The following is a 17,414-nucleotide window of genomic DNA, read 5'->3' on the forward strand; positions in this document are numbered from 1 at the left end:
TTCCTAGTTCCACTGCTACTAGAAGCCTTCATCACTTGCAATAATAGAGGATGATGATTCATTACAATAAAAACAGTATCTACTCCCCTGTGGAAGATAATCCTAGGGAAGTTCTGGAAGAAGTATTAAAAACAGCAGCAGAGCAAAGAGGGGGAATGCGTATCTAAACCTAGGCTCCCACACCGCCCTGGAGTTTCTCCTGTACACACCTGAGGTGCTCCCTTTAGGTCGCCGTGGCCAGTTCTTTCAGCAGGCCATGCTTCTCCAAGTATCTCACCCCTCATCATCACCATTTTCCTCATTAATTGCAACTCATCCTTCAGACCTCTGCTCAAAGCTCACTTTGTCAAGGAAGTGATTCCAGAAGTACTCTAGATAACTTGCTTTTTAACCCGTGTGTGTGTGTTGTTTTTTTTAAAAAAAAAAAAAAACTCTGGCAGTTTGACACTGTCCCCTCCCCCTAGTCTGTAAGCTCCAAGAAAGCAGGGACCACGGGTTTATCTAGCTCACCATTTTAACTTCTAGAACCTCTCAGCTTTGGCACATAGTAGGCACCCAAAAAATACATGTCAAATGACTGAATGCTGAGTTAATCTACTGTGATCCAATGGTCTTCCTATACATGCCAAATTTCTGTCATTTTCTACAGCTATTTAATATTACAAGGTGATCATTCCTGAAATCGTATTTTTGAAAAAAGCATAATGATGCAAGGGGTTTGAAATGTACAAAAATTGTCCAATTTGTGGGTTTTACATGTGTCTGTGGTAGGGAAAGAACATTAGCAGGGAGGGTGTCAGAAGTAATGTAGGATCCAGAAGAGCCTTCAAGAGGAACCCCGATATTCAATGAGAACTTAAATACAAGTGTCCCAAACCACCATGTTGCTCCATCAGGGTAGAAAAGGAGAGGACAGGAAGAAAAGGAGCAAGAGAGAAAAAGACCTCTCCCTGAAGAACAGCCAAAGTATCATTTGGGTCTGTAATCCCAGCACTTTGGGAAACCGAGGCAGGAGGATCACTTGAGGCCAGGAGCTGGAGGTTCCCAAGTGAGCAATGGTCACTCCACTGCCCTCCAGCGTGGGTGACAGAGCAACACACTGCCTTTAAAAAGAGAAAATTTTAAAACTATCATGCAGCTTCGGAATACTCTTTGATTACCTTTAGGGTCTAGTATTGGCTTTTAAAGAAAATCTTTCCTTGATAACAATGTGACAAGGAGATTAAAAAAAAAAAGTCCTTGATTTTCTTAACAAATCAAGATTTTAAAATGTCTAAGCAACAGCCAAAGCTGTCTCACTTAGACAATCATTTATTAATGGCAAACTTAAACATTTTTTCAAAAAGAATTAGTTATTTGTCTCTTACTCTCTTGGATCTGTTTTGTAAGCTTCCTGACTTTAAATTTTTAGCTATTTCTTCTTGCTGAAAAGCTAAGAACTTCATTTAGACATTTAATATATCTAGACTATTTCCTTATAACCCTAAAAAAAGTTTAAAAATATTCATGGGGAAACATATATAATTATATTTCATTTCAGTTTTAACATTATAGAATTTTCTTTTTTATCAAAAATTTGATATCTCTATTTCTTTGTATCATGATCCTGAATCAAGAGGTGTTTTTTCTTGAATGCTTTCAAAAGGACAGGCATCCTCAGAGTAGGCCTGGAGGGAAACTTCCTTTGGCTCCTACTTTAGAAGCAACTCATAGAACAAAGGGGATAGTCTCCTCCGGTGGGGGTACCTGGCCCCCAATTTGAACTTCTCAGCATGTCTTTTTTTAGGTGCTTAGGAACTAAAATTTCTCCTTAGAAAAAGACTTGAGCGGGCCCCTGCATCTTTCCATATCCTGCAAACAGATGACAGGAGTAGTCAGGCAGGAAAAAAAACCCAGCTGTATCTGGCTCATCACAGTCTGAGGTAGTTCATTTCATTGTTTCATGGCTCGAACTGTTCTATGTCTTTCCTTCCACTGGGCTGAAATCTGCCTTCGTATAAATTTCGGTCCTCTGAGATATTAACAAAAGCAATATGCTTCCTGGTCCACGTGGAAGCCCTTACAGATGGGGAGGAGGACTCCATTCTGGCAGGCTTTTCTCCAGGCCAAACACTGTCAATGGCTTCCCCGTGGTCAGTCTGCAGACCCTTCACCACCCTGGTCATGAGTGGTGATCACATTTCAATTGCTCAATGCTCCTCATACACAGTGGTACCCAGAATTAAAAGCAAGATCCCAGAAGTGATCTGTGAAGAAGGAGATAATACCACCGTAATTCTGTTGTTAATGAGCAAAGACACTTTTTCTTAAAAAGGCATATGACATAAATGACACAAAATACAAACATTTTCAGCTTAATATTTCTTCCACATGGTTATAAAATACTGCCTTTTTTTAGATGTAATCTATAACCTAATTTCTGATCTTATTCTTCAATGAACAGTGTTAGTGTAACAGAATATTCAGCTTAAAAACATCTTTTACCACAAATTATAAGAGGAAAGGACCATTAGATGTTGTAAGTGTAGATCACAGAATGTACAGATGCTTATTAGCTTCAGAAAATGTGAACTCCATATTAACCATACAGCTGCTGGCAAACTCTTCTAGGTCAAAAAGGAATGTCAGTGTGTAAGAGTACCTCTAAATTGAAGTAACTATTTTGTGGCTCCCTGCATTCTCATCTCTCAAAGCTCTTCCCGCTCGGACTAAAGAAAAGAAGCATGACCCTGATATTAAACAGATGACCAATAAGCAAATGGGACTTCAATTCACAAAAACCAAGAGGACTCCAAAAAAGAAAAACTTGGTGGTTGGGGCTGGGCACGGTGGCTCACGCCTGTAATCCCAGCACTTTGGAAGGCCGAAGTGGGCAGATAACCTGAGATCAGGAGTTCGAGACCAGCCTGGTCAACATGGTGAAACCCTGTCTCTACCAAAAAAATAAAAATTAGCCAGGCGCGTTGGCGCACACCTGTAATCCCAGCTACTCGGGAGTCTGAGGCAGGAGAACTGCTTGAATCTGGGAGGCGGAGGCTGCAGTGAGCCCACTGCGCCACTGTACTCCAGCCTGGGCGACAGAACGAGACTCTGTCTCAAAAAAAAAAAAAAGAAAAGAAAAGAAAAAGAAAAAGAAAAGAAAAAATTGGTGGTTGGAAATTTATCCCCAACTTTGACTAAAATGGGATTTCAGAGGGTGTGTTCATGTGTGTGTTTCAGACCACTTCAACTGCTATCTCTCATGCCAAAGAATACAGCACCTAGCAAAAGTTTTCAAGTTTCAAAAAGGTTCATTTTCCCTTCAGTGATAGGGAGGTATAAGAGCCTTCCTCTTCAATATTTTATTATTAAAATTTTCAAATACACAGAAAAGTCGAATGAATTGTACAGTGAGCACTTATGTATCTACCATCTAAATTCTACAATTAACATTTTATTACATTTGCTTGTAAGAGTCTTTTTTATGTATCATTGATCAGCATAACAGTCCTATAATTTACAATTTTGGGGGGAAAGTTCCTGATATCACTGGGTCAGCACTCATTTTTAAAGTACAGAAATAAACATTTCAAGTGCTTAAGTTAGGCTAATATAATTTTGCTTGCATTTAAGATCTGACTTCTTTCTTTATGCACGTTGGGTAAAATATTTGTTAGATTATTTATGTTTATTTTAATAGCTCGGCACAAAGATACTAAAATGTTATCTGTAACAGCTTAACCTTTGGAAGAATACTTACCTTTGACAGTTTCCAAATGTTTCTAAAATCTTTAAAATTATTTGCAAGCTACTTGTGGTCCCCCATGAATCAGCTAAAGTTATTATCATAAAATAAGTATAGCAGCTATTATAATATTCAGTATTTACTATGTGGCAAGTACCATTCTAAGTTCATTCAACACATGTAACAACATTCAACACAGGTAACATCATTCGATACATGTAACATCTCCATTAAATAGGTACTTTTAATATTATCATCTCCATTTTAAAAATAAGAAACATGGGGCATAAAGAGTCAAAGACCTCACAAGTGGCAGAAATGGGATTCAAACTCTGGCAACCTAGCACTGCACACTTTTCGGCTTCTCAGTACACTGCACAGCCTCTCTAGCAAACAAAAACAACCCTCTGCCTGATGAAAACCCAATCTGTTAAATCATTACCATCCCATTGAGAGGTGACAGCGTGCTGGCAGTCCTCACAGCCCTCGCTCACTCTCGGCGCCTCCTCTGCCTGGGCTCCCACTTTGGCGGCACTTGAGGAGCCCTTCAGCCCACCGCTGCACTGTGGGAGCCCCTTTCTGGGCTGGCCAAGGCCAGAGCCGGCTCCCTCGGCTTGCAGGGAGGTGTGGAGGGAGAGGCGGGAGCAGGAACCGGGGCTGCAGGCGGCGCTTGCGGGCCAGCTGGAGTTCCGGGTGGGCGTGGGCTTGGCGGGCCCCACACTTGGAGCAGCAGGCCGGCCCTGCTGGACCGGGCAATGAGGGGTTTAGCACCCGGGCCAGCGGCTGCGGAGGGTGTACTGGGTCCCCCAGCAGTGCCAGCCCACTGGCGCTGTACTTGATTTCTCACCGGGCCCTAGCTGCCTTCCGGCGGGGCAGGGCTCGGGACCTGCAGTCCGCCATGCCTGAGCCTCCCACCCCCTCCATGGGCTCCTGTGCGGCCTGAGCCTCCCCGACAAGTGCCACCCCCTGCTCCACGGCGCCCAGTCCCATCGACCACCCAAGGGCTGAGGAGTGCGAGCACATGGCACGGGACTGGCAGGCAGCTCCACCTGCAGCCTGGTGCGGGATCCACTGGGTGAAGCCAGCTGGGCTCCTGAGTCTGGTAGGGAAGTGAAGAACCTTTATGTCTAGCTCAGGGATTGTAAATACACCAGTTGGCACTCTGTATCTAGCTCAAGGTTTGTAAACGCACCAATCAGCACCCTGTGTCTAGCTCAGGGTTTGGGCTCTGGTGGGGCCTTGGAGAACCTTTGTGTCCATACTCTGTATCTAACTAATCTGATGGGGAGGTGGAGAACCTTTGTGTCTAGCTCAGGGATTGTAAACGCACCAATCAGCGCCCTGTCAAAACAGACTACTCGGCTCTACCAATCAGCAGGATGTGGGTGGGGCCACATAAGAGAATAAAAGCAGGCTGCCCGAGCCAGCAGTGGCAACCCGCTCGGGTCCCCTTCCACATCGTGGAAGCTTTGTTCTTTCGCTCCTTGCAATAAATCTTGCTACTGCTCACTCTTTGGGTCCACACTGCTTTTATGAGCTGTAACACTCACCACGAAGGTCTGCAACTTCACTCCTGAAGCCAGCGAGACCACGAGCCCACTAGAAGGAAGAAACTCCAAACACATCCGAACATCAGAAAGAACTCCAGACACGCCACCTTAAGAGCTGTAACATTCACCGCGAGGGTCCGCGACTTCATTCTTGAAGTCAGTGAGACCAAGGACCCACCAATTCCGGACACACCATCGCTGATATCACTGCTAACTTAGGAACTGGTTATTTTCATTTCAGAAACTGAAGCAATGTTCAATTTCAATGAGTATTTTTTAAAGCCAACAAGTTGTTAGTTTCTGAGTAAAAATTACATGTACAAGGTACAGTGTGGTTATAATATATTTGGAAAAGAAAGTACAGATCTACACTGAGAATGAAATTAATGCCTATACACAAACACATACAGTCCAATATGCAAAGAATATGTGTGATCTTAGACAAGATAATTAATTTCTCTGAACCTACATCCTTGTTGACAAAATGAGGGTAATACTATAATCTTAGTACCAACTTCACGGGATCATTATGTGAATTATACTGGATAATCTGAGCTCCAAAGTATGTGTAATAAAATAAGTACTCAATAAATGTTAGCTACAAACACATATAAAAACCTTAGCACTATATGTGGCACATGCTAAATACTAAAAACTGTTGTCAGTAATAAAAATATTAGTAATAATAGAAGACCAATATATGTCAATAATAACTAATGTTCACTGATACCACAGGGGAAATTATAGATCCATAATTGTGTTTTAATGTTTTCAAAAGAATAAGTTTAATCTTGGCCAAACACAGTCTTCCAGCAGATTGCATCATAAAGGATACTTCTGATTAAATCAAAATGACTAAATAGTACTACAGCAGATTTAGCAGAATAATTTAATTTATAAATAAATCAAATTGGTATCAGTGCAAGGTCCCTGTTGGCTATTATATCCCATTGTGTCAACCCAATAGTGTTGGGAAACCTTTAAAAAAATGCTATAAATAGTCATCTATAGAAACTCAAACTAATAGGCAGAAAAAAAAAACCCTCTTCTTATATTGAACAACAAAAGAAGGAAATAAAGTCTATTTTGACAGTTTAAATTGTAAGCTAGCACCGATGAAGGTGATTGCAGACACTGATTCTAAGACTCTCGTTTCTACATACTCATAGAAGGATGATGAGACATATAATCTTACTTACTTTCCAACCCCACAGCCGGCAGATAATTTAGAAAATCTGCTACTTCTTCTCTATCAGGAATAACTGGGATCACAAGAAAAGATTCCCTTCCCTCTGTGTTTCTAATTTAAATGAATAAACTCAGAGGAATCAACCTCTGTATCATCACAAACTTCAGACTCCAGGACTCTCTGGACCAGACTGGGGTCTCAGAGAACAGCCACGGAGTCACTGAACCCCTCAGATGGCTCTAAGTGAAAAGTCATGCAAAGGTCCGGGGCTTTCCGTGGCCAGCCCATCAGTCTACTCATGTGTGACTAACACCCCAACTATCCATCTTTCTGGACCATTTAGTCTTTGCAGGTACAAATGGCAATTTGCTGTCCATTTTCGATTACACATGTATTTTCTCCACCACATCCAACAGCATGTAAAACAAAAAGTGCCATTTTGTATACACAAAGGCACTTACCAGGGCTCAGTGGATCTTAACACCATGCACTCTGAAAGGATTAATGATGGTGTGATGGGAATGAGACGGGAAATGAAAAACTCGGTTTTCCCCTGTTTATACCATAATGTAACTTGATTGCTAAAATGAAAAGTATATTCTCTACCACCTTGGCCACTGAAAAAGACACTGCTGAAACCAAGAGGCTTCTGTCCTGATACAAGCAACTGACCATATTTCATTTCCTTACATACTATTCCCTTCCTTTCATTTCCATTATTTCATTGCTCTCAAATTACATGTATCTGCATGGTTTCTTCAAGACACAAGATTCAAATACTATAAAGCTATGTGGTTTTGGCTGCAGGTGGGCAATCCAGTCCTTAAGCAGATGCTAAACAAGACCATGTCCAGGTTTCCCAAAATTTTGGTAAAACTTATTTAGCAATAATTAGCAATGATTACATGGTATACAGAGTGGTATACACAGTATATGCCATGAAATAGGAGGAAGCCATAAATCTCCAGAGATGAAAATATTAATTTCATACCCCACATAGCTAATTCTATTGCTATTGCAGGATCAAGAACTTTGAAAAGCATCTGCTTTAACTCAAATCCAAGCAAATTCACACGCATATGTGGAGATTATTTTCAGGGATACTTATTTCTACAGCAGCAAAAAGGGAGTGGGATAAAAGGCAAGCTGCCCTTGTATAAGATTTCCTAAGGAATGGTCCCTGAGCAAAAGGACTTGAGAGCCACCCATGGAAGATGTCACGGACTTTCAGGCTTCTAAGTACTCATCTTCAAGCATGACCCTGTCCTAAAGCTTTTCTTTGCTCCACTCACCCAAACTACTTTGTAGACTTTTCTATACGCCATGGGTACTTAATAAATCCTGGCTGATAAAGGTAATGGCAAAAGAAAAATCTACCCAGAACTCCAAATCCCCTGCCAACTCTTTTATTCTTTCTGGCTCTCCCAGGAGAAAGTGGTTGTGATTAACTTCTTAAAATGACCCCAAGGCTTTTGACGTGGTGTCATGTCCCCTCCAAACTCAGGCACCTCTATCTGACTACTGACTTTCTCCTGTTTACTTATTAACTCTGTCTCTTGTTAAATTTTGAACAGTCTAGGCCGTTTTACACCTTATAGCTCAAAAAAGGCAGCACAGTAGCTGGTGTAGGGATGTGACAGAATGTTTTTATTCCACCCCCGAAATAAAGCTCCTTGTTTTTGACACACTGGAAAATGTACAGCCAGAGAGTGCTCGAGGCGAAGATGCCACCCCAGCCTTACATCTGTCTGCTTTCATTTGTCTACAACTGTGCTTATAGATAAAACAAGCTTTCCAGATGTCATCACAAGCAGGGCTCATATGCTGACTTCACTGAGACACCATTGTTGGCTGCCAGCATAACAGAGTTGTAAAACTAAAATATTTAAACTCTGAGCTACTCAAAACAACTCTGAATGTCACACAGGATCTTATTTCGGGATTAATTAATGTACACCCCAATAAAATAATCATGCGTTAAAAACAGAGCTGGCTGGCATGCAAGTGGTTCTAATTTTCCTTTTTCCAACTGTTCCAATGGCATGCAACAGCATCATGAAGAAATTTCTGAAGGACAGCCTTTATGTATATACCCGATCAAGCTCTTAAGTTTCAGGTGCTACATTTCACTGTGCCACGACCTATATGTTCTCATTGTTTAAAACAGACATAATGAACCTAAGATGAACAAAAGCAATATGCCAGGCACAGACTATAAAGACATTTCCACTGTCAGAGGGGAAGACCAATGACAAGTGATGGGGGAGATTACTAATAGGCATTGTTTTACACATCCATATGTGAAGCTTGGCTTCAGGCAACCTGGTATCAGGGAGCTTGAATGTTTGTTTGAGAACACAATATCCCTGTGGTTATAATTACAACCACTGTACAAGAAGAGGACTGCCGTGGTTTCATAATGCCCTTAACAAAGAAGAACACATCATTCCTGTGCTTCCAGAGAAATTACACACACACACACAGAGACACACACAGACACACACACACACACACACTATTTCTATTTTTTTTCTCTGAACCTGCCCAACAATTTAGTTTTCACTGAGTGAACGAAAGGGAGTTCAGCTTCCATCTAAATGATCGTTCCTCATAACCATCTAATACAATTGTTCTGAATTGGAAAAAGAAGCCCTTTCACAGTTGGGTACATGAGACTTCCACTCATCTCCCACTAACTTGGGCTTTCATCCTGCTCTGATTAAGTCTCTTGTAGCCCAGTTTGCATTTTTGTAAAGTTGGGTCAGGGATGTTCATTAAGCATCTGTTACTCAAAAACCTGTTTTGTGGGTCATTCTGGTTTTAGAGGCCAAATCCATCACCCAGCCACAAGCCTTCTGGAATTTCTGCTTAATTTAATAAGAGACCCAACTTTGCATTAACCCAGTCAAGGGATCATATAGGCTCTGTCAGGGCCGGTCCTCCACCCCACTGGGCTCATTTCATGTGGCTAGGGCTTACCAAAAAATTAAAATTAAAAAGCACATTCTAGCCTGAGCAACATAGTGAGACCCTGTCTCTACAAAAAGATTTTTAAAAACAGAGAAGCGTGGTGGTGCATGCCTGTAGTTCCAGCTGCGTGGGAGGACTGCTTGAGCCCACGAGGGCGAGACTGTAGTGAGCTGTTACCACACCACTGCACTCTAGCCTGGGCAACAGAGTGAGACCCTGTCTCAAAAAGAAAAGAGAAAAAGAAAAAAGCATGTTCCAGGCAGTCCACAACCCTTCTCAATCCCCCATTTGTACCCCCAAGGGTACAAATTTATGTGGAATAAAACATTTACTTGTGATGGCTTTCCAGGAGACCATTTACAGAGAGGAAAAGGAGGGAGTCAGTTACTTTGCTTTCCCACCATCCTGAATGTTCCCATCTTCTCTTGAGCTGATCTTAGTTCGAATCCTCTGAAAATAAATCACCCCAAAGCACTCAAGATTTCCCCAAGGCTCCAGCAGGCTTCCTGCTTTGTTGTTTCCACCCCCGTGCTGGGAGGCTAATGTGTTTGAGGAATGTTGTTTTAATGCAAAGAACTTAGAAGAGTCAAAACAACCTGCCATAGGGATCCATCTGCCTCTGATGATCCTGGCCTCTGTCACTCCTGTTTCAGCCAGAGGAAAATGAAGTCAGAGGAAAATGAAGACCTGGGTATTAAATTCTGGTCATTTCTAAGTGTTAGGACAGTAATTATACTTCTTGAAATCAGAATAGTAGTATCATTCCTAGTTCTGTGGGACTTGATGTTCCTTCTTTATTTGGTTAAATGTTTAGGTTGGGGCAGGAAGAATTAATACTGAAGCACACCCTGTACTTAATCTTCTGACACCCAAATAAATGCGCACACCTTTTATTATCCTCCCAGTACTATGCTTGGGCAATGTCATCTGCAAGATTCTCTTCATGAGATTATTATGAGTGATGCTTACACTAACCCTAATTTTCAGCTTTTCAGCAAACATATATTCCTCAGAAACATTTAATGACACATTAGGCTCTCAAATATTTGCACTAAAGTTTACTTTCTGTTCTTTAAAGTTCTCCTGGGTTTCTATAGGGATGCAAATTATTAAACTGTAGCAATTTGGGAGATTCACAGACAATTTTTTTTTTTGGTAGAGACAGGGTCTCACTCTGGTGCCCAGGATGGAGTGCAGTGGTGGGATCACAGCTGACTGTAACATCAAACTCCTGGGCTCAAGCGATCCTCCTGCCTCAGCCTCCTGAGGAGCTGGGACTACAGGCACATGACACCATGCCTAATTTTTTTTATAGAGATAACGTCTCGCTATGTTGCCCAGGCTGGTCTCTCGGATCATGCAGTCCTCCCATCTTGGCCTCAAAAAGTACCAAAATTACAGTTGTGAGCCACCATGCTTGGCCATAGACATCGTTAATCTCATTTTTGCCTTTTAAATCCACTGGGAATCCAGAAGTGACACTTTCTATATTCCCCTTTTACAGATGAGAAAAGAGATGTGTAACTCAAGTTACCTGTTTGCCTAAAGGCAAGACAGTAAGCCTGGGGCTGAGTCAGTTTACTTGAAGAACAACTAGAAGCACAGTCTTGAGGGGGTCAAACGTCCTCTCCTAGCTACAGACCAGAGGATGTAATAACAGCAGTAAGTCTGTCGGCTGGGGGTGGAGGGGGCGGGCAGTTCTGAACGCTGACACCTAACAGGACATGGAGTGTTACTCTCGGGTCCTTATTTGAATACAACTGCACTTAAAAAATAACCCAATTTAACAATTCAGAAGTTCTGATATATGTTTTATAAAAATGTATGAGAGACCTAAAAGCCACGGAGAGCCATAACTTTGAGCTGCCTCATTTGTTTCTCTTTTATTACAGTACTGCACAGTGGGCACAAGCTCTTCACTGAAAAGAGAACATTAAATCTTTATTCTAAACTGTTTTAGCAGAACAATATTAATAGTTGAATATTATTTTGTCTGACTTATAAAATACCATTCAAATAAGACCAAAGAGAGCACTGAACCCCAGCCAAGTCCTATGAGAAAAAAGTGACAAGCTATCTTCAGAAACAATAATTTCTTGTCACTCTTAAGATTCCAGTAACATGTCCACTGCTATGTAAGCCCAAAAGCCGATTTCTTGGAATGAAGGTAAGCTATTCAGAAATAAACATTTCTCTGGGTCCCCCTTAACAAGGAAAGCAGCCATATGAAATATTCTTTCTCTTCCTCGAATGTCTGTGTGGTCTTTCCTAATGCAGGATCAGTAAGCAACCCATGAGGAAGCCACTTTGTTTCCATGGATATTTTACCATAGATGGTGAAACAGGACAAGATTTAAGTTTAGAAGAGAGGGCTCAATCCCGGAAAATATTCAGCCATCAGTACAATTCAATTCAGCAAAAACCCCAATACGACTATTTTTGGCCGCATCTTTGGAGCTCTTTGCTTTATCTTTGTACTACTAAGCTACATATTCCCCATAGCATGCAAAAAGGCACCGTTTCCCCTCGCCTTATATGGCAGTGTGGGTTACTACAGACAATTTCGGTGAGATTAGCCAAAAACCTTAACAATGGCCTTTTTCTTGGGTTTCCAATTTTCTATCAAATTCACAAAGGATTTTTCTCCCCAACGTACTATATCTTGATATTCCAAATAACATAAAAAATAAAATATTAACAACTCATAAGTTAGGAAGTCTGTTTTCTGCTCTAGAGACCTCTTTAAGTAATCAGAGTGGTGACAACAGTACTAACAGCTAAATAGGGTTTACGTAACACTAGCAGGCCTATACTTACACTAATGGAAAAATTATACTGAACCTAGTTGGAACTCACAGAAATAAATTAAGCAACTTTGTAGGAATATTCACAGTATTTCTACATAAACACTACTGAGTAAAATGTTTTAGTGGGAAACAAATTTTTTTCTAATTAGCAAATGAATGCGTTTAGTCTGGAGATCTTTTCATGCACTAAAATATCTAATTCAGGGCTTAGCCTGCAAATATGACAGATTAAGTACTGCCTTATATACTGTATTGACTGTAACTTCCTATAAAAAGGAATGCTGTAGTGAAAGCATTCATGAAATATTTGAATCTTAATCCCGATCATTCAGTTTGCCTGTCACTAGCCAATCAAGGAGCAAAGATTAAAGGCTAAACAAGATCAAAACCAAAACAGTCTTAAAAGGTGATGGCCTGAACAAGGATAAAGGCTTCTTTTAGCAAAAAAAAACCCAAAAAACTGATTAGTAGACCCAGTAAAAATTACAGGCAAAAAATGGTAGGAATCATTAAATCATCTATATTATGTTTCAGTCATTGCTAATCACTCTGCTTTCCAAAATGCCTAGTAAGCTCATTCAGTATAAACCTATACACTAAGACAATAGAATTAAAAATTAAAATATGAACTTTCTAAGTCAGTGTTGTCAAACAGAAATATGTGATCCACAGTAGTAATTTTAAGCTTCTAAGTAACAATTATAAAAAAGTAAAAGAGGCAAAACTTTTAATAATGTGTCTTACTTAATAAAACAATCCAAAATATTGTCAGTTCAACATATTACCAATACAAAAATTTGTCAGTATTTTAAATTTGGTTTTTGTAATACATCTTTAAAATCTGGTATTTTACCTTTACTGCACATCTCAATTTGGTATGGAATACTTGAAATGTGGCTATGCAACTAAGGAAATCAATTTTTAATTTAATTTACATTTAAATAGACACATGTGGCTAGTGGCTACTGTGCTAGACAGCATAGGTTTATAGTTTATTATCTAATTTACCTTTCATTGAGATAAGAGTTTTAACATGCAGCAAAATCCTAGGACTAGAGAAATCTTTAAAAAGACAAAATACAAAGCATCAATCATTGCTGGTCTCAGGGTAGGAAGGCTGAGTTGAAATGTATATGCAAATATGATCCATGGTTTACATAAATGTGTTGCTGACATTTTTCATTTCCATGCACACATGTGGTGATATGTGATTTAACATCCTAAGGAGAAAAAACACATCACCCATCTTCAAAGCCTCTCAGTTGATATTTTATGTTACCTGCCTTTCTCCTTCCCAAAGGCTAACTCCATGGCAGGTTTGAAGTACTCTGAAAAGGAAACACTCCTGAGTGATTTGAGTGTTACATAACGGGGGCTAAAAAGTTTCTTACCCTCTAAAAATTTCATACATATGTTCAGGTGACTCAAAAGAATGTTAACAAAACTTGAGGAGGCAGCAGAACTTACTACTCAAAACTACCGGCAGTAGAACAAGAGCCCTCGTGTATCTGCCACTGATTAGTTACAAGAACTTGATCAAGTTATTAAGTTCCTTACTTCTTACTTAACAATACTGTTTCTCCTTCCCTCAAAAAATTTTTCTGCAAGAAAACAATACACGGATCTTTCTATTCTTCCAATAATGCTCAAATGCAAATGTCTAATTTAATACAATTCAAGTAGGAACCCCTCCAAATCAAAGACCTTTCTCCCCATTGTTAGAGTGAAAGCTCACTGTATTAGTCCATTTTCATGCTGCTGATAAAGACATACCAGAGACTGTGAAGAAAAAAAGGTTTAATTGGACTTACAGTTCCACATGGCTGGGGAGGCCTCAGAATCATGGTGGGAGGTGAGAGGCACTTCTAACATGGCAGCCGCAAGAGAAAATGAGGAAGAAGCAAAAGCGGAAACCCCTGATAAACCCATCAGATCTGGAGAGACTTATTCACCATCAAGAGAAGAGCAAGGGAACGACCAGCCCCCATGATTCAATTACCTCCCCCTGGGTCCCTCCCACAACACGTGGGAATTCTGGGAGATACAATTCAAGTTGAGATTTAGGTGGGGACACAGCCAAACCGTATCACTCACCTTCCTCCAAACTTTCATCTAATACACACCTTTATTAGTAGAAATTTTAGAGTTTTCTCACTTCATATCAGACGTCTATGTATCTGTGTGGGTGTGTGTATGTGTGTGTTTAAGGACACATCTGTTTTCCATTAGACTGTGAGCACCTAGAGGGAAGGGACCCTGGCCTAGTGATTCTTATGTTTCCTCAATCAGGTCTTTCATACAGTTGTGCTGGGTTGAAAGTATTCTACACTCCCTGAAGAAGAGAAGCTACAAAAAGAGAAACATTTAAGAGAAGAGTCCCAACTTTCAAAGGGGTTCATTTGGAGTTGAGGAGATAAACACAACTACATAACAATAAAATGCAGTGCAGCTGGTTTCATGTCAGAATGAGCAGTCCCTAATCTCTAGGTGCTCAAAGGTTTGCGGAGGAGTGTTCCTTGGAAGAGAGTCAAGCAGAATTGAATAAGGACTTTTAGGACATGAATCAGTGGCATATAAGACCTAAGATCCTACAGACCACATGGCTCCATATGAGCAGAGGTGTGGAGGCGGAGCACAAGTCTGGAGGACAGAGACGCAGACAGACAACGTGATTGTGGTGGGTTCCCACAGGGCATAAAAGAATAGAGACTGATACCTGAAATGAGGATGGATCTATGTTAAGCAAGGCACCGAGAGCAAAGACAAATATTTTTACATTACATGTTGCAGTCAGTGAAAAGCCACTGAGAATCTTGAATGGAGAGTGAACTGCTGAGAATGGGATTTGTGAAAAAAGGATCTTGCCACAGCTTTAAGGATACAAATGGCTGGAGGCAATGCTGCTAATCAAGTAAGATCCTTCCACTGCAGTGATATACTCAACAGGTGGAAAGGGTCTCATGCTGGGGAGGCCACTCAAATGAAGAGGAACATGCATTTCTCAGAAATGACAAGATCTGGTAATGACAAAACTTAAGAGGATCAGAGGTAAGGGTCAAAATAATTTTAAAAAACACACATAAAACTCCTACAGCACACGCAGTATTCCTTCAAAATAATTTTTTTCTAGCTATATTGGATACCTTGATAGCTGGGGAAATGGCAGTAATTCTAAGAGAGCCTGGGAAATGGGAGGAAGGCTTAAGAAAACAGTGAATTTAGTTTGGGCCATATTACAATGAAAGAGGATGGAAATTTATCCAACTGAAAAAGTCAAGTGAGCAGCTGAAGATATGCATCATACCTTGTTCACATGTGCACTCGCTCATTAGGGGTGGATTACCAGTCTCTAAGGGTTATTTCACTGCAGTTTAGTTTCATCTCTTTTTAAGTTATACAGAAACACCAACAAAGAAAAAGTTACTACTACATGTATGCTTACGCTACCAGATTAATCAAAATCGTTTTTCTTCTTTAAAATATATTGATGTCCATAGCATGCTAAATAAACAAAACTAATAAACTACACTCTGGTATGCTCACATACTTCCGCTTTTACAAATCAATTTAGTCAAGGATCAGTTATTTTTTCTCAGACCTGATTATAACCGTTTCATCTACAAATACGATTTTATCATTTAATGAAATATTATAAAAACCAGTGAAATACGATTGTAAAATAAAAAGTTCATTCTATCAAAATTAAGTTGAATGCTTTAGGGAGTCCTGACAATGTTTTTTTCTTTTTTTTCCCCACCCTTAAAAAAAAAACAAAAACAATCCTGCTTTCACATGGTGTGGGCAAGACAAATGCAAAATATTGGAGGATTGGATGATTCTACACTCAACCTATTCATGTCTAAGTTCCAGGTTCACTTTAAAGCAGCAAGAGGTGAAAATCTTGGTGATACATCACAGTTGTGGTATATGTAAGAAGTCAGAACTTTAATGAGCACAACCATCCATACTTAAGTAAAGGCCTTGGCTAATCTCAAAATGCACATTTCTATATTTTCAGCTAAAAATGCTTAAAACATGTAGTTTGTTTGTTTTGGTAAAGATTCACCACTTCAACTGATTAACTGGCTGTTGGTCCTGGTTGTGAAAACAGGAGGAATTTTCTACTGCATATGATTTCTTTAAAGCAACAAAAGCCTCTGAGAATTAACTTTAATATGTGTTTACCTGGCAGGTTGTAAAGGTGTTCCTGCTGTGATGTATGGTCCACTGAGAAATCATATGATGTATTTCTTGTCTTTTAGGAATACAGGTTATGCATCGAATAAATACCAAAAGCTCCATCCTTCGAGGGTGGTAAAGGCCTGCCCATTTTTTTTTTTTTTTCTGTATAGCTATCCATCAAGTCTACTCAATTAATGATGAGTAGTAAGCATCATTACAAATCAGTCACAGAACACTGCTGCTAAAATCTTTATGGGTAATCTGAAATGGTGTGTCTTCAGTCTGGGTAGTCTGAAACGTTGTGTCTTAAGTCAACTTAACATGTAGGTTAAGTTTTTTACAGGCATCACTAAGATGAAATTCGTGATCATTAGTATAAATAACATTCAGAATATTATGATGCCATTAAGAAAATGTTTCCTGGTGATCATCCATACTGCAGAGTATGAAACAGACTTAGAGCTCCCCTGCTTTATTTCATTTTTATTGAAAAATTTCATAGAGGAAACTGTAATTGAATGATTAAGCCACTTTGTTTTCACGTAAGTCCTATTTCGAAGAAATAAAGTACGCACGCAGAAAAAGCACTCATTATCAACACACAGGTAAGCAAAACCACTGATCTGTGTTTCTCAGAAAATACACTAAGGTGCTCTATCCATTTCCCAACCAGTGCATCCTGATAGGTTTTAGACTCAGGAAACAGTTACATCTACCTTATCTGACCACATCCAGATCTGGCCAACAACCTGAAGTTAGAAGCCATCAATTCAGAAGATCTTTTCAAAGTACAATATTGATACAAAAATGATTTGAATTTTTAATTAGGGGTGGGTATGTGTAAGAGGGAACAAACAACTCATTCATTCAGAGCTGTCTTGAGCACCTACTGTAATAAACGTGGCAACATGGTAGGTAGACTAGGTAGACTAAGGATGGATGAAATCCTGAAATAATCTTCCAGTTCTATGCTGGCCTCTGTCCCTCCTTTC

At 40.0% G+C, this 17,414-nt stretch overlaps 1 protein-coding gene across 40 annotated transcripts in view, besides 2 other annotated features; it reads right to left on the bottom strand.

Moving 5' to 3' along the window:
• The window catches only part of BNC2 (basonuclin zinc finger protein 2), a 461,168-nt gene that overhangs the window by 66,650 nt on the left and 377,104 nt on the right, over positions 1-17,414 (bottom strand). The window lies entirely within an intron of this gene.
• Positions 9,058-9,710: an enhancer, noted in NCBI's record as "NANOG-H3K27ac hESC enhancer chr9:16485208-16485860 (GRCh37/hg19 assembly coordinates)". NCBI's record gives its function as "activates a minimal SCP1, AML or CMV promoter by ChIP-STARR-seq in primed H9 embryonic stem cells {active_cell/tissue: H9 hESC(primed)}" and the evidence as "EXISTENCE:reporter gene assay evidence [ECO:0000049][PMID:30033119]".
• Positions 9,711-10,362: an enhancer, noted in NCBI's record as "OCT4-NANOG-H3K27ac hESC enhancer chr9:16485861-16486512 (GRCh37/hg19 assembly coordinates)". NCBI's record gives its function as "activates a minimal SCP1, AML or CMV promoter by ChIP-STARR-seq in naive and primed H9 embryonic stem cells {active_cell/tissue: H9 hESC(naive and primed)}" and the evidence as "EXISTENCE:reporter gene assay evidence [ECO:0000049][PMID:30033119]".

Source organism: Homo sapiens, chromosome 9, assembly GCF_000001405.40.
Source record: "Homo sapiens chromosome 9, GRCh38.p14 Primary Assembly".
Lineage (NCBI taxonomy): Eukaryota > Metazoa > Chordata > Mammalia > Primates > Hominidae > Homo > Homo sapiens.